The 24422-nt window shown below is 54.7% G+C and overlaps 2 protein-coding genes and 2 non-coding genes across 12 annotated transcripts in view, besides 8 other annotated features; 1 reads left to right on the plus strand and 3 right to left on the minus strand.

Annotated features, from left to right (window-relative positions):
- On the minus strand, nucleotides 5010–10650 carry NKX6-3 (NK6 homeobox 3). Of its 2 annotated transcripts, NM_001364841.2 has the most exons (3): nucleotides 9944–10650; nucleotides 7899–8068; nucleotides 5010–6527 (listed from the first exon to the last, which is right to left on the minus strand). In NM_001364841.2, exons 1-3 carry the CDS (start codon nucleotides 10323–10325, stop codon nucleotides 6282–6284), a joined length of 798 nt encoding a protein of 265 aa, NP_001351770.1. In that variant the 5' UTR covers nucleotides 10326–10650; the 3' UTR covers nucleotides 5010–6281. The 2 variants fall into 2 exon arrangements, with proteins under 2 accessions (NP_001351770.1, NP_689781.1); NM_152568.3 differs by lacking the exons at nucleotides 7899–8068; nucleotides 9944–10650 and adding an exon at nucleotides 7027–7192 and having other exon boundaries at nucleotides 5011–6527.
- Nucleotides 5019–5078: an enhancer, noted in NCBI's record as "active region_27291". NCBI's record gives its function as "activates an Ori minimal core promoter by ATAC-STARR-seq in GM12878 lymphoblastoid cells {active_cell/tissue: GM12878}" and the evidence as "EXISTENCE:reporter gene assay evidence [ECO:0000049][PMID:35858748]".
- Nucleotides 6393–6622: a silencer, noted in NCBI's record as "silent region_19146". NCBI's record gives its function as "represses an Ori minimal core promoter by ATAC-STARR-seq in GM12878 lymphoblastoid cells {active_cell/tissue: GM12878}" and the evidence as "EXISTENCE:reporter gene assay evidence [ECO:0000049][PMID:35858748]".
- The window catches only part of ANK1 (ankyrin 1), a 243517-nt gene continuing 232152 nt past the window's right edge, over nucleotides 13058–24422 (minus strand). For 3 of the 8 annotated variants that reach the window (NM_020477.3, NM_020476.3, NM_001142445.2), the window contains 3 exons: nucleotides 23492–23575; nucleotides 21634–21774; nucleotides 13058–15586 (listed from right to left, as the gene is read on the minus strand). In NM_020477.3, the coding sequence (NP_065210.2) occupies nucleotides 15560–15586; nucleotides 21634–21774; nucleotides 23492–23575 (252 nt within the window). In that variant the 3' untranslated portion in view covers nucleotides 13058–15559. Of the gene's footprint in view, nucleotides 15587–21262; nucleotides 21398–21633; nucleotides 21775–23491; nucleotides 23576–24422 lie in introns of all 8 variants that reach the window. The other 5 variants (NM_000037.4, NM_020478.5, NM_001142446.2 and 2 more) reach the window with 3 other exon arrangements.
- Nucleotides 13167–13960: an enhancer, noted in NCBI's record as "H3K27ac-H3K4me1 hESC enhancer chr8:41510853-41511646 (GRCh37/hg19 assembly coordinates)". NCBI's record gives its function as "activates a minimal SCP1, AML or CMV promoter by ChIP-STARR-seq in naive H9 embryonic stem cells {active_cell/tissue: H9 hESC(naive)}" and the evidence as "EXISTENCE:reporter gene assay evidence [ECO:0000049][PMID:30033119]".
- Nucleotides 13167–13987: a biological region, named in NCBI's record as "H3K27ac-H3K4me1 hESC enhancer GRCh37_chr8:41510853-41511646".
- Nucleotides 13488–13537: a silencer, noted in NCBI's record as "silent region_19147". NCBI's record gives its function as "represses an Ori minimal core promoter by ATAC-STARR-seq in GM12878 lymphoblastoid cells {active_cell/tissue: GM12878}" and the evidence as "EXISTENCE:reporter gene assay evidence [ECO:0000049][PMID:35858748]".
- Nucleotides 13558–13627: a silencer, noted in NCBI's record as "silent region_19148". NCBI's record gives its function as "represses an Ori minimal core promoter by ATAC-STARR-seq in GM12878 lymphoblastoid cells {active_cell/tissue: GM12878}" and the evidence as "EXISTENCE:reporter gene assay evidence [ECO:0000049][PMID:35858748]".
- Nucleotides 13648–13987: a silencer, noted in NCBI's record as "silent region_19149". NCBI's record gives its function as "represses an Ori minimal core promoter by ATAC-STARR-seq in GM12878 lymphoblastoid cells {active_cell/tissue: GM12878}" and the evidence as "EXISTENCE:reporter gene assay evidence [ECO:0000049][PMID:35858748]".
- Nucleotides 15787–16320: an enhancer, noted in NCBI's record as "H3K4me1 hESC enhancer chr8:41513473-41514006 (GRCh37/hg19 assembly coordinates)". NCBI's record gives its function as "activates a minimal SCP1, AML or CMV promoter by ChIP-STARR-seq in naive H9 embryonic stem cells {active_cell/tissue: H9 hESC(naive)}" and the evidence as "EXISTENCE:reporter gene assay evidence [ECO:0000049][PMID:30033119]".
- MIR486-1 (microRNA 486-1) lies at nucleotides 20274–20341 on the minus strand. The gene has a single exon (NR_030161.1). It is a non-coding gene; the product is annotated as a microRNA 486-1 (primary transcript).
- MIR486-2 (microRNA 486-2) lies at nucleotides 20277–20340 on the plus strand. Its single transcript, NR_106984.1, has one exon. It is a non-coding gene; the product is annotated as a microRNA 486-2 (primary transcript).

The following is a 24422-nucleotide window of genomic DNA, read 5'->3' on the forward strand; positions in this document are numbered from 1 at the left end:
TCTCACTCTGTCACCCAGGCTGATGTGCAGTGGCACAATCTCAGCTTGCTGCAACCTTCGCCTCCCGGCTTCAAGCAATTCTCCCTGCCTCAGCCTCCTGAGTAGCTGGGATTACAGGCACCCGCCAACACACCCAGCTAATTTTTGTATTTTTTAGTAAAGACAGGGTTTCCCCATGTTGGTCAGGCTGTTCTCGAACTCCTGACCTCAGGTGATCTGCCCACCTTGGCCTCCCAAAATGCTGGGATTACAGGTGTGAGCCACTGCACCCGGCTGAGAAAAGAGGTTCCTTTGGCTCATGATTCTGCTGGCTGGGAGACTGGGCATCTGGTGAGGGCATCCACCCCTACGACCCAAACACCTCACATTAGGTTTCACCTCCAACATTGGGGATCACATCTCAACATTGGAGATGGTGGGGACAAATATCCAAACGATAGCATCCAGGCACTGTGTCTGAGAAGAGGGGTGCTGTCCACACTTGTGCACACAGACATGTTCGCTCTGGATCTCCTCACACCAGCAGGGAATTTGTTGAAATGCAGATTCCGATTCAGGAGGTCTGAGATAAGTCCTGAAATGCCACATTTCTAAAATTTCCCAAGGGAGGCTGCTTCTTCTGTGCACGGACCACTTCTTTGCATAGTGAGGTTTATAGCAGGTGCACAGACTCAAACACCTGCCTGAGCCAGACAGGTGATGTTGCTGTGGAGCCCAGGTGTGGGACATGGGAAGTGGTGGGTCACTCACTGGGCCAGGCTCGCCCTTCCTAGAGGCAAGCTACAGTTTCTTTCTTTCTTTTTTGAGACAGGGTCTCGCTCTGTCACCCAAGCTGGAGTGCAGTGGTGCAACCTCGGCTCACTGCAACCTCTGCCTCCCAGGTTCAAGCGATTCTCCTGCCTCAGCCTCCCAAGTAGCTGGGATTACAGATGTGTGCTACTACGCCTGGCTAATTTTTGTATTTTTAGTAGAGACAGAGTTTCACCATGCTGGCCAAGCTGATCTCGAACCTCAGGTGATCTCAGGTGATCCACTCGCCTCGGCCTCCCAAAGTGCTGGGATTATAGGCATGAGCCACTGCACCTGGCAAGCTACAGTTTCTATAAAAGCACTGTTCCATGAATGAACACATCTGCACACTGAATTCAGCCTGGGGCACCTAGTTCAGACCCCTACTCTGGAGTCCAGATCTCAGAGGTTTGCAGGTAAACTAATCTGGTCACTCATTGAGTCCTTCTGTAGCCTCCCAGCTAGCAGTTGACTTGCTAGGACTGTTACAAGAGTGGGTAGCTGCAACTTTGGAACTGCTTGTCCCATTGTTGAGAAGACCAGATTAGAACTGTCTCCACCACTTACTAGTGGCGTGAATTTGAGAGGAAGGAGAGAGTGTGAGTGTGCCGGTGTTTAAGTGCCTGCAGTATTCTACGCTCTGTGCGTGATTCCATTTGAATCTTCTCATCTGTCTTGCAGAAGTGGTTCATCCGCTTCATTTTACAGATGAGAACAGTGGAGTTGAAGAGCTTAACTAACCAGTCCTGGCAGCCCAGCTACTACTTTGTGACGTGGGGATTCAAACTCAGGACTGCCAGCCTTCGTCTTAGTCCATCTGTGGCACTTTAACAAAATATCTGAGACTGGGTAATTTATAAATGATAGACATTTATTGCTCACAGTTCTGGAGGTTGGGAAGTCCAAAATCAAGGCGCTGGCAGGTTCAGTGTCTGGCAAGAGCCTGGTCTCTGCTTCCAAGTTGGTGACTTGAATGCTGTGTCTTCACATGGTGGAAGGGATGGAAGAGCAAAAAGGGCCAAACTCACTCCCTCAAGCCCTTTTATAAGGGCATGAATCTGATCCATGAGGATGAAGCCCTGATGGCCTTATCACCTCACAAAGGCCCTACCTCTCAATACTGTCACCGTGGGAGTTAAGTTTTGACATGTAAATTTTGGAGGGGACACTGACACTCACATCAAAGCCTTCTCTGAATAATACAGGGCTACTGTTTACTGTCTGTGTATGCCAGGCACATGCATTAGTTCTAATCTCACAGAAACCCTGCAAGGTGTGTGGAATTATTCCTATTTTATAGATGAGTAAACCGAGGCTCAGAGGTTAAGTAACTGGCCCAATGATACAGAGAGTGGTGGAGCTATGGTTTGAGCCCATATCTAACTGACTCCTTTCCCCTAACCCATGCTGCGGGGACAGCTGGTTTCTGGGGTCAAAACCTAGGGGTGGCCCGAGGATGAGGAGGGGTTACCAGAAGTGGGACTTCAGCCCTTTGTCACCTTTCTTTTGCCCAGGCTGGAGTGCAGTGGAGTCATCTCGGCTCACTGCAACCTCCGCCTCCTGGGTTCAAGTGATTCTTCTACCTCAGCCTCCCCAGTAGCTGGGATTACAGGCACCTGCCATCACGCCCAGCTAATTTTTGTATTTTTAGTAGAGACGAGGTTTCACCATGTTGCCCAGGCTAGGCTCCAACTCCTGATCTCAGCTGATCCGCCCACTTTGGCCCCCCAAAGTGCTGGGATTATAGGCATGAGCCACTACACCCGGCCTCTTTGTCTACTTTCTGATTGTTACCATCAGGATATGGCCACTGTGAGCCTGGTAAGGCATGGACATCCACCCACCCTCGCCCCGACCTGCTGAAGACATATCCCAGGTCCTGCTAATAGCAGAAGCCACAAAGGTGACAGCTATGGCAGAATCCGTCCCTACTTGGTGGAGCCCATGGAGCCACCTGTCAGAGCAGACACCACAGCTGTCATGGACGTGGGACTTAATTTCTTTCCTTTTGTCTCTGAAAAGTTTGTGATGTGGTAAGAGAGGAGCTGCAGGGAGCATGCATTTCCAAAGTTCTTTTGCTTTTTGTATGTTTGTTCATTTAACCCAGAATATACAATAAGTTCTATTTATGAGCAGGGATAAAAGTGGGGCCTATAGTTTATGATTTTTTTTTCTTTTTCTTTCTTTCTTTCTTTCTTTCTTTCTTTCTTTTTTTTTTTTTTTTTTTTTTGAGACAGTCTCACTCTGTCACCCAGGCTGGAGTGCAGTGGCATGATCTCAGCTCACTGCAACCTCCACCTCCCGGGTTCAAGCAATTCTCCCACCTCAACCTCCTGAGTATCTGGGACTACAAGCCCTCACCACCACGCCCAGCTAATTTTTGTACTTTTAGTAGAGACAGGGTTTCACCATTTCTCACCATGTTGGCCAGGCTGGTCTCGAACTCCTGGCCTCAAGTGATCCACCCACTTCGGCCTCCCAAAGTGCTGGGATTACAGGTGTGAGCCACCACGCCTGGCTGGCTTATGATTTCTTTATGATGGATGAAGTGAGATAGCCTTGTGTTCTCCCAAGTAACACACACATGTATGCACACACAGGCATGCACATGCATTCACATGTGTGTGCATCTGCAGAGGGCCAGACTTATCTTGAATGACCCTTGGGAATCTGGGTCTTCCACATATGAGTTTTCTCCTCCTTTGAACTCCAAATCTAGTCTTTTGAATATGCTTCAGCATGATTGTTAGGGAAATGGGGGGCAGTGCCTCTCCTGTGCTTGGCCCTATGTTCAGTCTGCACATGGAAGGTGGTGTGGGATTAGAGGAAATGGCCCAGAAGGCTGTAGTCTTTTAGCTAAAGGTTCCAGTGGCAGGTATCCCAGAACTTTGAGGTCAAAGGAGGTTTTGTTTAGCTCAGCAAATATCTCCTGGGAAAAACTTTCCCCAGGCTTGATTTCATACTGACCTCAAATGACTTGAATCAGACATGCAGGAATTATAGCTACAACAGAGCAGTTAAGATTACAGCATGCTTCAGAAAAAGATAAGTAAACACAGTTTTTATGTCACTTGCATCTTCCTCCATACCTGCTTGGTGACTTTGCACCTGGGCTATGTGATAGCCTTTTCCTGCCTGCAGCACTCAGGAATCACAAGCCTCCCAGAACCACAGAAACTTTTTATCTTTGAAGTCTGTGCTGAATTCTAGGGTCCTCTCCTGCTGCAGCCACTGTAGGACCCATTCAGGACACTTGTGACAGAGCACGGCTTCTCAGTGTGCACACAGAGATTGTGCTCCATTCCCTTCTTTTCTCCTTTCTGCTTTTCAAGGGAAAAGACTGACACCTGAGCATAGGCATCTTCACAGATGGAGGGTGGAAATTTATACACATTCTGCATTTTCTGGTCATGTTCCTCTCTGTCCTCTGGGTCCTCTAAGGGTCTTAGGAAAGGTGGGTGCCCTACTTTCTGAGATGCTCCTAGCTAGGGTCTTCCTCCACCCTCATCCCCTCTCGGGCTGGTTCCAGGGCCAGGTTCACCCATCCTGGGGGTCTGGGGGTCCAAGGATGGACTTCTTGGGAGAGCAAAGGGGTCAAGCCTAGTTGCTAGTTGCACAGATTGTTGAAGTTGGAAGGGCCTTAAACTACTTTTGGTTCTAGCCTCTCATTTGACAGAAAAGGCTTCGAAGGGTGCCCTTCACAACCCAAGGAAGTGGCTGAAAGGGCCTTGGGATCTACTCTGAGGTTGCCTCGTCCCACTTCTGTGACTTGGTTTAGGAACTTTCTGAGCTTTGGTTTTCTCCTCCATGCATTGAAGATGATACCTACTGCCTAGTTTTCTTGTGGGGTCAGTGATAATCCAGACATTCTACAGGGGAGAAATTAGCAGGTGTTCTGTTAAACTTAGCTCTTCTAGTCTCTCCCTTCTTATTTTTCTTATGATACCCAATTCTCCACATAGATCATCTTCCCCACTAGGCTATAAATTCCTGGAGATCAGGGACCCCATAAAATTCACCTTGGGTTTCTCAGCACCTGGGGACAGTGTCTGGCATCTACCAGTGAGGTTTCAAATAACTTGTATTGTGCAACCTGTCAGAGCACGAATGTCCCCAGGAGACTAGACAACGGCCCTCGGGGAAGGCCCCACAGCTGGCAAGTCTGGGACCTCACAGCCAGTTTCCTGCCGTTGGTCCCTTTCACAGAAGCACAGGAGCCGTAAGGTTCATGGGACTTTTATTTTTACTGTTTATTTTTTGAAAGCCAGTGAGGATGGGCAAGTGCTTGGTCCCTTCTGGGCTGCATTCCTATCTAAGACCAGCCCTCACCCGCCTCCCCCAGCCCACCCCCTACCTGCCAGCAGCTCAGATCACCCGGGTGAAAAATACCACCCTGTTGGCCAGCGTCCCTGTCAGCACCAGCTCCAGTGCCAGGCCGCAAGGCGATCTGAGGAAAGGAAGGGCCGTGATTCCCAGCAGGCCGTGGTTCAGCCCCTTCCTGGCATCCTCCACCCAGCCGGAGGGGCTGTCCTTCTCCCTTCCTGCCTTGTTGGAGGGGTGCCGTTCTGGGGTCTTTCCCAGCCCTTCCTTTCCTCCCCAGGTGGGATGCTTTTTCTCTCTGGGTGGGCCTGTCCTTATATCAGCACCAAATGATGCCCAGGTGGGTGGCCCTTGGGCACACCGTCCCCGCCTCCCCTCTCCCTGCACCCTCCCCTTTTCCCCGGCTGTCAGGATGAGGAGGGCACAGCGGTCTCAGAGGTATTGACCCTGAGGGTAAATCGGAGAAAGGAGGCCAGGGGGATTTCCGCAGCTCAGGGGCCGTCATCCTGCAGTGTCAGGGGCATTTTTTCTCCACTGGGATGTCCCACTTCCCCTCCTGGAGGCAGATTTCCTGCAGCCTGGGTTAGGTGCTCAGCTCTGGCCCCTCCAGTGGGACCCTTCCTGTGCACAGGTCTGAGGAGTGCACCTGGCCACTCACCTGTCTTTTCTTCTGCAGCCAGCAGCTGGCTTGGGGCCCAAGACTCTGGACTTCTGACTCCCCAGCCAGCTGCCTCCCTCCCTGGGAAGTCCTGCCCACTCCCCCCGCCCCAACAGCTGGATCACAGTGGCATGTCTGGGACCCCACAGCCAGTTTCTTGGCTGCAGAGCCTGGTCATTTTAGTCCTCTGTCCACTTGTGAATCTGCAGAACTGGCAGGCGAGGCCCGAGGAGGTGCAAGGGGCAGCGGCTTCCAGGTCTCAGGAGTGCTGTGCCTCCCTCCTGGCCTCCTCCTCCCTTAGCTAGGATGCCTGTCCCCTTTCCCTCCTTTTCCTCCTCCTCCCCCGCCTCCCCTCCTCCTCCCCTGCACCTGCTGCTCCTCCTCCACGCGCCCCTCATCCAAAGAAAGACTCAGTCCCTGCGCCCCCAGGAGCGTGGGGAAGGGGAGGGGAAGGTAGGCTCCTCGGCGTCCCCCCGCAGGCTGCAGCCAGGATCCCGGGCCTGGACGGCGGGCGTCAGACGCTGTGCGCTCCCAGGCTGAGCACCGAGAAGGCGGCGCGGTGCTTGCGCAGCAGCAGGCGGATCTTCTCGTCGTCCGAGTCGGGGTCCAGCGGCTTGTTGTACTCGTCGTCCTCGTTCTCCGAGGGTGCGCGGTCCCCGCCTGCGCCTGCACCCGCGCCGCCCGGGGCCCGGGGCGTGGAGGACGAGGGCTCCAGGGCGCTCTTCTTCCGCCACTTGGTCCTGCGGTTCTGGAACCACACCTGCGATGAGAAAGAATGTGAAGGGCACAGGGGCACAGCGCGCACGGGACGCGAGAACAGCCATCCTGCTTTTACAGCTAAACAAATGGCTCAACAACGGAGTGACTGTCACATTCACGTTTCTGTTGGGGAAGGACAATAAAATTTAAAAACGTGAGCGCGGCAGCCCTCCCCTCCGCCCCCCGCCCCCACCATTTGCTTCCTCTTCCACCGCCGCCTCCTCCCCCTCTCCCTCCCCCTCCCCCTCCCCTCCCCCTCCCCCTCCCCCTCCTCCTCCTTCTCCTCCTCCTCCTCCTCCTCCACCTGGGAACTCGGTGGAAGATGCGGAGTGCGCGGGTGGAAGGCTTAGCCCCGGTGCTCATTGGAAGGTGCTTATGAGCAGTCCCTACTCTGGGCTTCATAGACCCTCACCCTACTTCATAAATAATTGTTCCCCTAGTTAGTTAGAAAAGTAACGTAGGTCCATTGCTTGGGATAGTTGAAGAGGGCAGGAACGCACCCCAGAAGCAGAAAGACATGCAGGAGTGTCTGCTTCTTCCCCCCAGCTCTCGCCCCAGGGCAGCTGAGCGGCTGATGAGGAGGGCGCAGCGGGTTGGAGCTCGGGGAGGCCCCAGGGCCCTGAGCAAAGCCTAGACCCAGGTGCCAGCTGCCCCTGCTGCATCCTTAGGCCCGTCGCCGAGTCACTGAGCCAGCATCAAAGTGGGGAAAGTTGCCCCCAGACTCTAAGGCGGTAGAAACCGGTTTCCCCGGGTCTATTTAGGGGGCATTTGGGGCCCCTGCGTGTGGAGTGGGAGAGCCTGGGCTCACCCTCCCTAGCCCTGGCGTGGGCGACAAGGCTCCAGGCCCCTGAAGCCCATCTGATCCTGCTTAGTAGAAGGAGACGTTGTCTTCATCTTAAGGATTGGTAAACTGAGGTCAGCTCCTTTTGCTGACTGGAGCATCAAGCATGAATCTGGGCCAGAGACTGCCGACCGTGCTTGGAATTTTTGGCCAAATACGGGGGGAGAGGGAAAGCCTCAGGTTGGAGTCCCCCACATCTGGGGTTGAACCCCAGCTCTGCCAGCTCTCCCAGCTCTCCCAGCCGGGAGACACTGATCTTCATCTGCGAAATGGGTGATGATACCGACCCCCCGGGTTGCTGAGAGGATGAAATGAGGTGCCGCACATAAGGCTCTGAGAATGGGGCTCAGCCTTTCCCGGCTATGGTTAATTACCACAGGCTCCAGGGTTAGGCAGGCAGGCAGTGCCCAGACACCAGGACAGCTGCCCTCTGGGGGGCTGCGTTGTGTGGCCACCTCTCTCCAACGCAGTGGCCTCCTGTCCGGCAGGCTCCTCCCTGCAGGGCAGGTGCCATCTCCCGCACAGACTTACCTTGACCTGCGACTCGGTCATGCCCAGTGAGTATGCCAGCCGTGCCCTCTCGGGGCCAGCCAAGTACTTGGTCTGCTCAAAGGTTTTCTCCAGGGCAAAGATCTGGTGCCCCGTGAAGGTGGGCCGGGTGTGCTTCTTCTTGTGTATGCTGTCACTCAGGGGGTCTGGGGCTGGCAGGAGGAAGGAAGTGTGGGGTTAGTAGAATAAGTGGGGACCCTGCGGCTAGGCACGTCTGGCAGGGCAACCACCATGCCTGCCCCTCTCCCTCCTGCAGAGGTTTCCAGGACACCAAGATTCCTTTCCCCTGAGCAGCATTCTTGATATTGGGGAACAGTGACTGTGACCTCTGCCCCGCCTGGATGGGCAGGGCTCCGAGAGGGCAGCTGCCCTAGTGTAATGGGACTTAGGGGCAGCAGAGCCTCATGCCTCTCTGTCTAAAGTTCTCAATACTCGCTGATGTTGCCTTCCCCTGAGGGGCAACAGGAGTTCCCTCTCTGTCCCAGGGATGTCCCTTCAGGTCACCCTCCTCCTATAATTAGGGACCAGGGCCTGTGAATTCCCTCCACCCCCGGCTTCCGCCAACTTCCTTGCTCTTGAGACTCAACTTCCCAGGTCTCCAGGAAACCAGGGAGGGGCAAACCTGACGCCCCAAGCTGCCACTTCCCCATGTCACCAGGCCTGGAAGTTATGTGGCTTCAACCACCCTGGAGAGCCTGGCACAGAGGCCAGAGACCCTGACCCCCAGCCTGGCCAGGGCAGCAGGCTCGGGAAGGAGCTGTGGGCAGTGGTTCCCACATGTCAGGCCTCGTTCTGTGCAGTCTGACAGCTCAAGTTACAGGTGAGGAAACTGAGGCACAGAGAGAGGAAGAGCCCTCCTGAGAGATCATGTTCAAGTCTCTCTGCCTTTGCCTTCATTAGCCACTGACTTTCTTGGCTATGTCCCTGTGTGTGTACCTGCATTCAGGACTGAAGAGGTGGTGTGTGGGATGTGGAGAGGGGAGGGGGAGATGGAGGGAAGAGAGAGTCAGCTGAGGCTTAAAGCACCCCTGAAGCCAAGCCTAAAACAGGATCTGAGAGAGGAGGCCTTCACCCCCAGGGGCACAGCGATGGGTGGCAGCCCATGGAGGGGTGGCTGTCAGGCACTGTGACCGGCAAGGCAGAGTAGCAAATGGGGGGACAGGTGTGCTTTTGGGGTTCCCTAGGTTGGCCCCAAGCCCCCATTGGCGTAGGAGAGCCCGGAGATCAGACAGAAATGGAGGCCCCTGCCTGACGTGGGCAGGGCTTCGGTGGCACGGAGAAGATTCCAAAAACTCTCACCTCCCTGCCTCCCAGCAGAGCCTCACCTGCCCTGCCACCTCCTCCAGTAACCCTGACTGGCATCACGGGCCCACCCTCTGAAAACCTTGGCTGAGGGATGGGTCGGCTGAGAAGAGGCCCCCTGCTTCCCCACAGCCAAGGCCAAGTTCAGCTGGACTCAGCAGCAACTCCCCGAGACAGGCTACTTGGTGTGGCTGCTGTTGCTAGAAACCCGAGGATGTGGTGGGCAACAGCCCCCTGGCTCAAAGGCTGGACCCGGATGGGGTCAGGGTGCGTTCTGCACCCTTGAGTGATGCCAGGGCTCTCTGGGAAGGTGAGCTAGGACATTTTCCTCACGGGGGTAGCATTTGCCTGCTTTGGGTGAAGAAGTGGTTGCATGGGCCCTGGGCTGCAGAAGCCAGCTGGGCTGCCTACTGGACCTCGTGCAGGGCAGGCGTGGGCTGTGGGGCCTTCTCTACATCTGGAACTGCCGGGGGCCCTAGGAGGGCAGCTGAGGTGGCTGGCATGTGAGGGGGGTGGCTCAGACACCTGTGTCCAAGCACTGCTGGATGGGAAGGAGGAGAGGGTGGAACTCAGCCTGCACTGAGCTGAGGCTACGAGTCCAGGGGTTAATGGCGACTGGGGGAGAGGGCGGAGGTGCAGGGTGCCCGGGAGGAGGCCCCTCCTCGTCCTCTGCCCCCCGGGGCCTGGCGGGTGCCGGGAGGTGGCTGGGGAGGACCCGTACTCACTGTTGCTGCACTGCCGCCCGCCTCGCCAGTCTTGGCCCGTGTCCGCCCAGCAGTTCCGGGTCCGGGTCGGGTACTCGTTCCCAGCCTTGGAAAAATTCCCTACCTGGGGGCTGTAGTAGACCCCCTGCGAGCTGAGCCCCCCAAAGCCTGCCACGTGGGGGTAGCCGGAGAGGAGGCTGTTGTTCGGCGCAGCCACGGGCCTGCTCAGGATGTCCGTGATCCCGTGGGGGGTTCCGGCGGCCAGCTGGGGGCCCAGCCCTGGGGGGCTGAGCTTGTAGAAGGAGTTCTGCACAGAGTACTGGCACACCGGGGCCTTCATCTCCGGAAACTGAGCCAGCGGCGTGTTGTTCAGCAGGAACGTCCCCTGCAGGTTGGACTCCATGATCTCCCAGTCAGGACAGGGAAGGCTTCTCCAGGCCCCTAAAACCCAAGAGCCCACTCTCTAGCCCCAAATCTCATGGCAGGCCTGGAGGCTTAGGACCGTCTCCGAGCTCCTGACTGCCTCCCACCTAAGGCATGGGCCAGGCCCTGGCCCAGGAACCGGCACCCGATCAGCTGCTCGGAAGTCAGGTGCTCGGGGCAGGTGGGAGGCCTCCCCAGGGCTCCTGGCCTCTCTCCTTGCCCTGGCCGGACAGGGTGGCCCCCTAAGCCTCAGCTCAGACCCCCTTTCTGCCTCTGAGTCGGGGGACCCTCCATGAGAAGTTTTAAGTTCAGAGAAGGAACATTTCCCTGATAAAGATACGGCCCATTAGAATACAGGCCGGAGACTGGCTGAGCCGCCGGAGCCGCGCCGCCATTGGTCGGGGCGCACACGGGCCTCACATTGGCTTTTCCTAGACAAATTGCACTTTGAAAGATTGACTGTACAATCAGCCAGGGTGTGTGTGTGTGTGTGTGCGCGCGCGCGCGCGCGCGCGCGTGTGTGTGTGTGTGTATGCGCGCGCGCGCGAGAGAGAGACAGAGAATTAGCTCTAGAAGCCCTACTCATCGCCGGAGGGTCCATTTGCTCCCCGCAAGTCTAGCATCTAGGAAAAGGTGAGCGTCTGGGGGCCCCTGGAGGCTCCCAAGGCAATTGGAAGTCACTGTTCCTACAGCTGCTCCCCTAGGGAAGAGGAGGCTGGACTCAGAGGCCACTGTCCGGAGCTGCGCCGGCCCCTTTATGTGCACATGTCCAAGCTCCACAGGAGAACGCAGCCGCTTCCTTCCCTTCCGCATGCGGGGATGGGGTAAGTGGCATAAGATGGGGGTAAGTGCGGGGATGGGGTAAGAGGCTGAGTGGCATTGCTTTCTGGGGGATGCAAGTCCCTGTGGCTGGCTTGAGAGCCTAGGGTGGGAGCCTGCTGGGAAGAGGGCAGCGCGGGGCGTAGGCAGCCCTGACAGTGCCGGGGTGTGAGTCCTCCAACTGCAGGAGGCTGAAGAGAGGGCCGCCCTGCACGCATGTTCTTGCCTCCACCTCTGGTCGGCCTTCCGTGACCTCCCTATCAGAATCTCTTCCTCATTTGTGCCTCTGCTGGAGCAATGGCCATGCTCTGTCTGGCGTGGTGCCCGGGTTTGAAATCCCTGATGGCTGAGAGGGTGGTGGAGCCCCGTGCCGGGCACTCCGTCGGTGCTCAGTTAGTAGTTGATGCAGTGGACTGGGCTGAATCACAGAACATGCATATGCTTTTTTTTTTCTCGAATAAATTTTTACAACATACAAGGCTCTATTGGGGGAAGCTCTCATTTTACAAACAGGAAAACCAAGGTATAGAGGAATTGGAGCCCACTTTCCAGGTACATGGGTGATTTCTGGACCAGGCAGGATTCTTCCCTGCAGTTTTTCTCTAAAACTGGAAACTAGCATGCCACTGGCCTGAACATGTAAAATGCTAGGAAAGACTGTGACTGCCAGACAGATGGACTTCTGCTCCTCTCTGTGCCTGGTGGCCCCAGAGCCCTTCCTGACCAGGCGTGGGCTCTGCAGGGCTTGCTCTCTCACTCCCCAGAGGCCGCCCTGGTAGGTGGGAGACTAGAGGCACTGCTTCACTGAGCTTCTCCTGGGTTTCCAGGCCGTCTTGGTTTTCAGTGGGGAGCAGAGGACCCAAGGCTCAGGGCAGGATTCCTTCTCATGCAGAAGTTGACCCTCTGTAGCACAGGGATTTAGGTTATGCAAGAAAGATCTCACAAAGGGTGTGGAATGATTCCCTACAAATTTGGTTTAAAGAGAAAAGAGCTACGTCTTCGTCTGAGATGGCTTTGCCACCAGGTCGCGTGCCACAGCCATCTGGTAGACCTGGTTCTGGTTCCCGGTGTCACCACCCAATTCCCCCCAGGCAACTGTGATTCTGAAACTGCATTTTTAAAAGCCCCATGGGTGCTGCAGATGACCTGCTGCGGTTGCCCACTGGCCTGAACGGCCTGTCCGATTCCAGGAGAGAGGCTGGGAGTGGGGTGGGGCTGGGGTGCTCCAGGGGCCTTGGGATTGTGACTCCGTCATCCCCTCATGATGGGAATTTATGTGGCAGGAAAGCCGCAGCCAATGATTTGATTCTTAATTAATGCCAAGCCTGACAAAGGCGTTGGTGTCTGGCGCCCCTAGGATGAGAAACTGAAGAGACTTTAGCAACCACCTAATCCATTCTCCCATTAGAGAGATGAGGAAACTGAGGTCAGCTTGGTGACCAGCCTTGCAGGAAGTGTTAGCAACTAGTTAGGAATAGGGCAATTTTTTCCCTACAGCAAGAACAAGTTCTTGAACTTTGAATGGCATTGAGTACTGGGGCCAGATGCCTTCCTAGGGAATGCTGGGGGGCCCCCTCAGTGCATGCCAGCTGGGGGCCTGGCCAAGAACCCTGGTGGGTTGTGGTGGCCCCTCCCCAGACCCCCAACTTCTCCCCATCTCATGGGAGCCATCAGGTGGAACAGAAAGCTACTCTGCCACCTCTCTGGAGGCATCTCTCAGGTGGGTGGTCCTGATTAAAGGGTTGTCCAGGCTTCTGGGAGGACTGGGCATTGGCGGGCTCTCTGGGACCTGAGCCCCACCCATAGACTCCTTCACATCACAACCCAGGCTTTACGCTGGCCTCAGCACCCCTAACCCCCCAAAGACGAGCGGGAAGGAGAGATAGAGCCCTGTGCCATTAGTCCATTTCTTTATTAATTTTGACATTGGTTCGGCTGGTGAAGGGAGAATGGTCTATACATCAGAGTAGGGTAGGGGATTCTCTCCCATAACAGAGCATGTGGGAGAGTCAAGAAAAGATCCATTTTCATAACAATTAAAAAAATCAAGGTAATTTCAAAACTTCTAAAAAGCGTCTAATGTGCAGACTGCAGCATTCTCTAGGCATCGTGTGGAGACCCCAAACTCCTCCCCTAACGGCTCCTACTAGCAGCCGGAGCGTGCAGCCATGCCAGCCGGAGCAGAGGTGCCAAAGCGGAGTCTGGAGCTGCGGGGTCCGCGGGGGCGCTAAGGGGGCTACTGGGTTGGCTGCAGCAGCGACCTGGGAGAGGAAGGTGCAGGATCGAGGCGGGAGAGGCGAGCCCTGAGCCCAGCTTCCTTGGGCCGTCACCGAATCGGTCCCAGCCGCGCTGTGCGGCCCCCCTGCCGTGGCCCCCGGGATGGGGGAGGATGGAGGGGGGCGCCTCTGCGCCCTGGAGGCCGGGCCGGGGTGGCCTCTGGCGGAGACGGCAGCCGTCCGGGCTCGCCCTGCAGCTCCTCCGACGCAGCCTCGGGGAAACTCAGGCCCGGAGCTAGAGCTTCCTCTCCCTGCCCGCCCCTCTAAAGGAAGCAAAAGCAGCCCCACCCCCGGCCGACAAGGCGCCTAGGCCGCCCCGGGGCCTGCCTGGCCGGGGGTGCACCGGGGCGGATTTGTGTGGGAAGCAGGGCCCCTCTCCGCTCACAGGCCCCGCGGCCAGGGGGCCTCTGACGTGGAGGGGGCTTCTGTGCTACTTGGAAGGTTTAAGTGTGTCCCGAGGACACTCCCGCAGAGCGGCGGGGCGGACGGGGCCGGGCCGTCCACACCGCGGCTCCAGGGGCGAGAGGAGCCAGCCCTGTCTCTCTCTCCTGGCCCTGGGGGCGCCCGCCGCGAGGGCGGGGCCGGGATTGTGCTGATTCTGGCCTCCCTGGGCCGGAGGCTCTAGTGGAACTTAAGGCTCCTCCCTGATGGCACCGAGGCGAGGAACTGCCAGCTGTCTGTCTCCTTCCTGCCTTGACCCAGAGCCTGGCCCCGGCCTCTGGGCGTCCAGGCTCTCCGCCTCCGACTCTACTCTCACCGGCCATGCGGTCCGGGGAGCCCCCTGGCTCGCCTCTCCAAGAGGCCACAGGGGCTGGGCAGAGGGGAGGCACTGAGGCAGGACAGGGAACAGCCTCGAGCCTGGCACCTGCACCCAGGGTCCCCAGCCTGCAGGCTGCCTGGACTTAGAGCACCAAGTTCACTCTGGGAGACCCTGGGTGGTCCTGACTTCTAAGACCTGGCAGATACATTCACTAGCCCTACTCCTTTCCTTCCTCTTTCACTGAAAGACAGGCCACAGCTCCTTCTCCTGCAGCCGCAGAAGTCCTCAGGAGCTGCGCTGTCAGGCTCTGTACGTACTGCTAAATGTTTCTATTGGTTTGCATAGTATTTATTGTTTTTCATATACACAAGGCTGATTACTGTACAGTTTACACTTTGAACACGGACTATGATATAGTGCTTGAAGACATAGAAAACCTCTTCTCTATGGACATGCTGGTGCAATCCTGGGTCAGCCACCGGCCTGTCCCCCAACTGAGAGAGGAGACCCTTTCAGATGGGGTCCTGGCTCCCTTTGAGTCCTACAGGTAAGCCTGGGGGTCCTCGCCTCAGATTCTTAAGTCCCTAACACAAGGAACCCCGAATGCACTCTTCAAGGTAATGATTTTCCATTGGAAGATGATTCGTATTGAAATTGGCAGAGAGAGAGACAACATAAAAAATTCCAATTTATCCACAGCAGAGTCTATACAGCTTCAGAAGTCACAGTAAAATCTGTGTGTAGATTCAGTGGAGGCGAGTGGTGTGTGTGTGTGTGTGTGTGTGTCCTGAATGTCATGTAGAGCGATCTGGGAGGAGCGTCACCAGGGAGTCGAGGGGGTGTCACAAGTGGAATGGAGGTATGTGGGTTGGGGAGGGTGGGCAGATGAGGACATGGCTTAAGATTAAGGTGTTAAACTGATTTCATGCCTAGTTTTCTTTTTTTTTTTTTTCTTTCCAGGAAGCCCACATGGATTTCTGACAGATGAGGTTGGGAAAAAGTACCCTGTACGAAGTCAAAACAATTTAAAAAAAAAACCCCAAAACCAAAACCCATCCCCAGCCACAAAAAGCCCTCATTCACTTTTGCGTTCGCAGGCTCTCCTGCGCTTGTTTTCTATCCCTCTCTCTCCCCGCTTCTTGCTGCTTTTGTGTCCTGGTTCCGACAGATCAGCTGTCATTGCAAGAGGCAGGATTGAAGCCTGGAGGTCATGCGTCTACAGTCAGTCATTCATGCCAAGAGGGGACTAGCAGGAGTCCCTTACAGAGGTCATGCCGTCAGCCCAGAGGAATGTGTGCACCGCTGCGGTGGCCCTCAGGTCCAGCTCTCCTCCTGTGTGCATGGCAGAGTGTGTGGGGTTCAGGGGTTGGGTGTCGAGGTGTGATCCTGGGAGACACAAAGAGAGAAGGAGTCACTTAGAATGCAAAAGTGCAACGTCCAGCAAAAACCCCACACACAGAGTTTTGTGCTGGCAGCTCAGGCCGAATCTGACTCAGGAAAAGCAGTCTCCCCAGGCAGGGCGATGTGCTGAGGGTGCTGCACTTGCAGCCCGACTTCCTGAGATGCCGCCCTCCTTCTCTTGCTCCCTATGCAGAGGCTGTTCCTCAGAGCCGCCACCCAGGCCTCATGAATTCCTTCTGAGTGTGCAAGTGTTCCAGGATGCCTCTCTGTATGGGCCAAGGAGAGCACTGTGCTCTGTGCCCTTGGAGAGGGGCAGAGGCCCCCGTGCCTACGTGGTCACCTGGGGAGACATCCCCCAGCAGATCCTTGTACTTAGGAAGAGCCATTTTTCTTGAGCCAGGGCTTGTGCCAAGAAGGGGCTAGGTGAGGCTAGGTGAGGCCTTCACTTTCTCAGTTCAGCTCTGCCAACATGCACTGATGTCCGCCATGCGCCAGCCTTGGGAACCCAGGGATGGAGCGGATGTGCTCCCTGGCCTTGGGAGCTCATGCCTCAAGGGTGACAGCTCCCCTTCAGCTCTGGCCCACAGCACTTCCTGACCGCTGCCTCTGGCTGCTCTCCCCATGCCCCTCAGATGGACAGAGATCTCTGAAAAGCAGATGCATCCTCCTCTCCTCCTCCTGTATTGAGTCTTAGGCTGGAAAAGAGCAGCTTTGCTGGAGGAACTAAGCCCACATTCTTCAGCCTGGGATTCGCAGTGAGAAACCTCTCCTGCCCCCATGGGGCCTCCAGCCTCCAACCTGGGGTGAAAACTCCATGTTTTCAAGACCAGCCACTCATGTTCTATCTGCAGGGGCCCTGGGACCACTGGGGAAAGGAGGATGCTTCAATAAGGAGGAGGTGACAATCTCTTGGGCAGGGTGGGAAGTGACACAGGGAGGCAGGAGCTCATTCGGAGGTGGAGCCATCCCCAGACATAGAGCTGTTTTGGGTCCTCCAGGTGAAGGGGTTGGGGAGGAGTGTTGGAAGGGAGTAGGGAGAACTCAGCTCTTGGGTGGTTCCCCAGGGATGGGAGGGTGGTGCCAGGTTCCTTGCCAGGGGCTGCTGTAGAACTGTAAAGCCAGGAACTGCTGCTGCAGTGGGTGGACAGTGCTGCCACCGTAGAGGGAAGATGCTTTCATCACTGCTGGGCCATCACATCGGCCAAGTCTGACTGTCTCCTCTAAGCCTCTGAACACGCTCTACCCTCCTGTTCTCTGCCTTCGGTCACGCTTCTGTCAAGGCTGCCTTCCATTCTCTTTTCTGCAGAGGTTCTGCCTGCCGCCCTCAACACCTCCACCCCACAAAACCTTCCTGATCCTTCCTGGAGCAGGCCCCTCTCCACTCTGGAAGCTCTCCCTTTTGTATTTTGTAAAAATACAAAATACAAAAAAGAAAAAAGCTGCCTTTTCTGTTCAGGAGATGGCAGAGTCGAGTGGGTAAGAGCATGAACTCTGGAGCCAGACCACCCGGGTTCAAGTCCCATGCTGCCTGACCTCGGTCAAGTGCCTTACCTGCTCTGTGAGTCAGTTTTCTCTGCTGTAAAATGAGGGCAGTAATAGGGCCTACCCATTAGAGAGGTGTGATGTTTAAAAAAGCTAAGACACATAGGTGCTTAGCATTGTATGAATGCAAACAATTACTTGGCTCTCTAGAAATGTTACCGTCTCTGTCCATCTGTGCTTTTTGATGTCTGCATATTTCCCTGACTAGATTAGAAACACTGAGGGCAAGAACAGCCTCCTGGTGCTCCCCACGGTGCCTGCCCCAAGAAGTGCTCCTCAAATAAGAGACCATCATGGAATATGCAGCCTGGGAAAGACAGGCTAGGATCTCCCATCTACTTTACCGCCCAGGCACTGAGCAGAAGAGAAAGTTCAGACCTCAGAGATCATGCTGGCATGACTGCCCATTTCATCCCTTGGTAAACTGAGACTCTAGAGGCACAGTGGCAAGAGCAGGGGTGAGATGAGGACCTAGGCCACCTCACTCTGCCCAGGACTCCTGCATTGTTCTGGCCTCTTCTCCTGGGTCCCCTCACCTTTCAAAAGCTTAGAAAAGAGTCTCTTTCATTCTTTATTTTTATTTCATTTAGAGACAGAGTCTTGCCCTGTTGCCCAGGCTAGCGTGCAGTGGTATAATCATAGCTCACTGCAGCCTTGAACTCCTGGGCTCAAGCGATCCTCCCACCTCAGTTTCCCAAGAAACTGGAACTACAGGTGTATGCCACCATGTCCAGCTAATTTTTAAACTTTTTTTGTAGAGACAGGGTCCTACCACATTGCCCAGGCTCATCTCAAATTATCCTCCTGCCTCAGCCTCCCAAAGTGCTGGGATTACAGGCATGAGTCACTATGCCCGGCCCTAGACAGCCCTTTCACAAACATAAACTCAGCAACCATCATAACCATCCTACAAGGGAAATGCTGGCATTATTGCTAGTTTATGGCTAAGGAACCTGAGGCTTAGGGAAGTCATTTGACTTGCTCCGAGTCACACTACAAACAAGACCTGCAATTGTTTGAGTCCCAGAGCATATATGTTCTTATTTACTCTCTTCACATCAGTGCTCACAGTTACCATTATTATTTCTAAACCTTTTTCTTGAAGTGTAGCACATTCGAAAGGGACATTTTCATCCTCCCTTGAGGAGACTGAAGCTTAGGGCGGTTAAATGACTTAAGGCCATACAACCTGGAAGCAGGAGGAGGCCTTGATTCTAGACTCACAAGCTCCAGCTTTCACTCTCTGAAACAAATACAGCCATTTGCCATAGCTCTGTTCTATAAATTAGTCGCTGTTTGAGGCTGTGCACAGTGGCTCATGCCTGTAATCCCAGCACTTTGGGAGGCTGAGGAGGGCGGGTTGCTTGAGGTGAGGAGCTCGAGACGAGCCTGACCAACATGGTGAAACCCCGTCTCTACTAAAAATACAAAAATTAGCCAAGGGTGGTGGCACATGCCTGTAATCCCAGCTACTCAGGAGGCTGAGGCAGGAAGATCACTTGAACCCGGGAGATGGAGGTTGCAGTGAGCCGAGATAGTGCCACTGCACTCCAGCCTGGGCGACAGAGCGAGACTCCCTCTCAAAATATAAATAAATAAATAAATAAATAAATAAATAAATAAATAGTCGCTGTGAACACGGAATTAGCAAATACTGAACCACTGCTCCTAAGGGAAATACAAGGTTAGGCTCCCATGAGCCTCTGGCCACAATATTTTGGTCAACTGATGAATACATAACTTTGTGTTAAATGCGTTTCTGTTTCAAGACGCCTTATGTAATATATAGGGTTGACTCATTAACACTGACTTCACCACCACAAGCACTCTAACTCATCCCTGAGCAGAGCTTATCTGATGTCCATTCCCTCCTTAAGGAACATCCCAGCCTTCTTGCACTTCGCACCAGACAGCACTTCAGCACTGCCCTCAGGGGCCATTCTAAACAATGAAACCAAAAATGTGAAAAATGTGGCACTACACAAGCTGCAAGGAGGACACTTATTTATAGTATGAGGCACAGAGGCAGAGTGTGGCATTGTTCATCCTCAGCTGGGATTGCACGGGTTGGGCGACTCAAACTTTCTGCCCTTGTGTGTGTGTCCATGAATGAGCCAAAGCACGGTGAGTGCCAGCTTTGGGGCTACAGATAAATGTTAGCGAGTGGACGAATTCGCAAATGCAGAATCCGTGAATGATGAGGATCGACTGTACATGCTTGTCGGGGATGCGGATAGTAAATTAGGAAGCCTTTGGGCCCTCAACCGTCTTCTCTGTAGCCTTTGCCCTGGTTGGGAGGGTAGGGCATTTAATGCTGTCCCCTAACCCTCTGGGACTTTGGCAGGAGCTTTTCTCCGCCTCTCCCTCACCACTGCTCTCGCCCCACCGCCCCACCCCCCTGCCACCCTCACACTTGTCCCTGTGCCTGTCACTGACAGAGGGCCAAGTGCTGTCCCAGAGCCAGGCTGCTCCGTGTTTCTGACACCCATGCTAGTGTGGTCCGGTCCTTAATCACCTGAGGTTGGGGGGCTTCAGCCACATTGCAGATCACTTACGGCAAATTAAAATGAAATTCAAGGCTCCCTCCTTCCCCCTAGCCTGGCTTTCGGGCTGCCTCTCTCCCACTCAGGAGCATCCATAGAGCCTGAGCCAAAGAGAAATTTAAAGCCACAGCCGCCACTGCTACCATAAGAAAAATAAGTCAGAAAAGTGTACTTTTCCTTTCCCTTTGCTGCTTTTAAACATTATTTGCATCTTTGGGTTCTTTCCAGGACCCAACAGCAGCTACTCAGAGTCTTCTAAACCAGCAGCCTAGTGGGACCCCTGGCAGTGCAGGGGTTAACACGGTGACCTCCTTAAGCTGCTGAGGTGTCAGGTCTAATTTTATCCTATAACTGGATCTGCCAGTCCTCTTTTTTGCCCAAGTGCTGAGATATATTGGGAAGCCCAGAGTCAGCACTTTTGGTGGCTCAGGAGGCAGCGGGCCCTGATTTTTGCCGAATGCAGAAAGCTAGAGCCTCCTTGCTGCTCGGTCCCAGAGTCAGGCCCTGGGGTGTGAATGGTAACGGCCTGGTTAGTGCTGCACTGGGGCCACCATGCCCCCTCACCTCCTGCTGACTCCCACCCCGAGGTATCCTGTACTGAGCTGCCCCGAGCTGGGCAGCATGAAGGGCCTCGGGGCAGCTCAGTACAGGATGCCCCAGGGAGGATGGAGATCAGAGCCGGCCGCTGAAGCCCCCAGCACCACACACACCTGCTGGAGATGGTCGCACAGCGTCTTCATGTCCCTTCCTCATGGCACGGCACGGCACGGCATGCCCCTGCTCTGTGGCCACACTGCCCCATGCTCACACACATGCACCACAGCCCAGGCCCCGGCCCCAACCCTGACGGTCTCCTGACTTGCAGAAAGCACGTCGTCCACCCCTTAGGCCTGTCGGCTCAGCCCTTTCCTAGAAAGCAAGGGAGCAACGTGTTTCACAAAACACCAAAGAGAAGCTAAGCCTTGGCCTGGTGAGAACTGTAGCTGGGCTCCAGGTTCAAGAGACAGTCCAGTCCTCAGTCTTGGAGCTCTTATGTTGAAGCATCACAGCCCAGACCAACTCTCCTGTCCTCTTCAATGCCCTGTCCACTGCTTTCTAGATCCCCATTGCTTGGTTTCCAAGATAATATTACCACTTAGATTTACAGAGTGCTTTTACTTTTCAAAGAGCATTTTTTTCTTTCTGGCTTTTTTTTTTCTTTTTTTTGTGATGGGGTCTTGCTCTGTTGCCCAGGCTGGTCTTGAACTCCTGGCCTAAAGCAATCCTTTTGCCTCGACCTCACAAAATGCTGGGATTACAGACATGAGCCACTGTGCCCGGCCCAAAAGGCATTCTTACAAAACCGTGCGGTCCCTGATAAGTGGATATTATTAACTCTGTTTCCTTGATGAGGAAGCTGGGGTTCAGAGCCAACTGTTAGCAGGGTTGGGAAGTGAGAATCTCTGCCTCGAGACACAACAACAAGTTGTTTGTCCCACATCATGCTGGGGTGGCTGGGAGGGGATAGGGTGAGACAGGGAGCAGCCACTCCACTGAAGACCAGGCCATGCAGAGGGGATGAGAAGGGCAGCGTTACCTCCCGAGAGGCTACTCCAAGGAGAGCGGCTCGGGGTCACTGTTTCCCCCTTTTCAGGCTGGCCCGCTTCACTATCTGCGCCCCCTTCCTGCCCTCTATCAGGTCCGGCTGTAGGCCACTCCCTCTCAGCTCCACCTGCAGACAGCAGCAGAGACAGAAAGCAGGACAGATCGCAAAGACGGGCAGAACACAGGCAGAAGATCGAAAGGAGGCCACACGGAGGTGGCAGACACACTGCCCACCAGGGAGAAGAGAGACTGGAGAGAGAGCTCATAAAGAGGTGAGTGGAGGGAGGTGTCATGCAGACGGCCCGGCAGAGCAAGGCAGCAGTGATGGCGCTGGGTCCCCCAGGGCCGCGGGCGCCTCAGTACCTTGGAGTGTTTCATAAAGTAATCAATATCGACCTCCAGCTCACTGGGATCCTCCAGGGGCCCCTCTACAGTCACCTCCTCGTGCTCCTGGGCGGCATCGGCGCTGGACAAGTCTATCTGTCGAACCACCTTGCGAATGATCTAGGAAAGGAAGGGAAGGAGGAAAGGGCTGGTCAGGCCGGGCTCGGGGGCTCATGTCTGTAATCTCAGCACTTTGGGAGGCTGACGTGCAGATCATCTGAGGTCAGGAGTTTGAGACCAGCCTGGCCAACATGGTGAAACCCTGTCTCTACTAAAAATACAAAAATTAGCCCGGTGTGGTGGCAGGTGCCTGTAATCCCAGCTACTCAGGAGGCTGTGGCAGGAGAATCACTTGAACCTGGTGGATGGAGGTTGCAGTGAGCTGAGATTGCATCACTGCACTCCAGCCTGGTTGACAGAGCAACACTCTGTGTCAAAAAAAAAAAGGCGGGGGGGCTGGTCAAGCCCTCAAGACAGAGCTTCAGAACAGCAGTTCCCAGGAATGAGCTCCGAGGGGGAGGTAGCTTTTGTCCTAGGAGCCCCTCCTTGAGAGGCCAAGAAGAGGGACAGCCTTTGCCCCATTGCTTAATGGAAAACCCTCTGCTAGACAGCCCTGAAGGGGCCTTGGCAGTGTCATTTCATGACCAAGGTGTGACTGGGTGTGACCTCCCCCTCGAGCCCACAGCCTTCTGTTTTGCTTTTTGATATGGATGGGAGTTTGTGCTCTTCCCCATTCTACTCCCATGAGCCTAAGGGCAGAGGGCATCTCTTTTTCACCCACCCATTCCCGTATTCACCTGTCCAAATCTTCAAACCCTTTACTCTGTATCTGCCGTGTGCTCTGAGTGGGAGGTGAAACATCAGTGAGACACTGTCCCTGCCTGCAAGCAGCTCACAGTGCAGGAGGCAAGACAGACGCACAAGGAGCCTTGCTCAAGGGTGATGAGAGCTGCGCCTAAGCAGAAGCACATTCGAGATCCTGCCTCAGCTCCTCCTCTATTTTACCCATAGCTAGCACCGTGCCCCACACTTGACAGGCAAGGTCATGTCTCTGAGTTAATATCTGCTACCAATCCAATGCATTTTCACTTCCTTTTAATTATTTAATTATTGTGATGGGGTCTCACTCTGTCACCCAGGCTGGAGTGCAGTGGCTCAATCATAGCTTATGCAGACTTGAACTGCTGGGTTTAAGTGATCCTTCTGCCTCAGCTTCCTGAGTAGCTGTGACTACAGGCATGCGCCACCATGCCTGGCTAATTTTGTGTGTGTGTGTGTCTCTCTCTCTCTCTCTGTGTGTGTGTGTGTGTGTGTGTGTGTATTTATTTATTTTTTAAAATTTTTTTTAGAGATGGAGTCTTGCCATATTGCCCAGGCTGGTCTAAATGTCTGGGCTCAAGCGATCCTCCTGCCTTGGCCTCCCAAAGTGCTGGGATCACAGGTGTGAGCCAGCACACCCGGCCCACATTCTTTTTATTTGAGGAGGCCCATGGTAGGCCAGGGATGCTCAAACTGCTTGTTTAACAGCTGTTTTCAGGGTTAGGCATCATGGGACTAGGTCTGGGATGTTTCCTGGGGGCTGGCCCTTCTGGAAAAGAGCAGCAGAAGCTATTCAGGTTGACTCAGACAAAGCGGTTGTGAGGACACCATGACTGGACTGCAGATGACCAAAGCTCCCAGCTCCTGGGCCCTCCATCCCTCCTGAGCACGGGGGCAGCCAGCCTGGCTGTGCTCACCTGCTGTGAGGGCAGCAGGGAGAAGCCACTGGCTTCTACCACCTTTTAGCTTCTAGCCCACCTGCCTCTCCCCAGCACAGAGGGGAACACTCTGCACCCACCTTCTTGGTGACAATGTTGCCCTGCTCATCCGTGAATTGCTCCTCTGTCACCTGCTCCCCTGGAATATTCTGAAACTCATTCCCCTGGAATTAGAGAAAGGGAGAAAATGCAAGATTGGTGAGTGGGAGTCTGGGAGGAAGGGTGGAGGACGAGGAAATGAAACAGCAGTAGCCACAATAGCCATGGCCCAATAACTCCCCCAGCAGGAAACCCGGCTCAGCATGTAGCAGGAGCCATGCCAGGGCTCCCAGGGCGTGGGCGGCGCCCCTGAGGGTCTGGGAGGCCTGAAGACGAACGGTCGAGCTCACAATTGTGCACTTGGCCCTCACAACACCCCCTGGGAACCTGCAAAATGGGGGCAATTATGCAAGTCTGACGGAGGAGGCCCTGAGAGAGGAAGTGAGGCACCTGTTTCCTATTTTTACAGCACTTTGCAGTATAGAAAAGCCCTTCGACAGGCAGCATCACCCAGAATGTGACTTGCTTGAAACCCCAGAGCCAGTTGGTGACAGAAACAGGACGATCCGGGTGCAATCCCATGGTGGCTCACGCCTGCTATCCCAGCACTTTGGGAGGCCAAGGCCGGAGGACCACTTGAGCCCAGGAGTTCAAGACCAATTTGGGCAACATAGCGAGCCCCCATCTCTACAAAAATTTTTTTAAAATAGCCAGGCATGGTGGTGTGTGCCTGTAGTACCAGCTACTCAGAAGGCTGAGGCAGGAGGATCACTTGAGCCCAGGAATTTACAGTAAGCCCAGGTTACAGTGAGCCATGAGCATGCCACTGCACTCCAGCCTGGACTAAACAGCAAGACTTCATCTCTAAAAACAAAAGAAAAAAGAGAAGAGAAGAGAGAGAAAGAAGAAAGAAACAAAGAAAGAAACAGGATGAGCGCAGCCTCCCGAGACCCAAAGCTGAGTGTTTAATGT

The sequence above is a fragment of the Homo sapiens genome, chromosome 8 (genome assembly GCF_000001405.40).
Source record: "Homo sapiens chromosome 8, GRCh38.p14 Primary Assembly".
Taxonomy (NCBI): domain Eukaryota; kingdom Metazoa; phylum Chordata; class Mammalia; order Primates; family Hominidae; genus Homo; species Homo sapiens.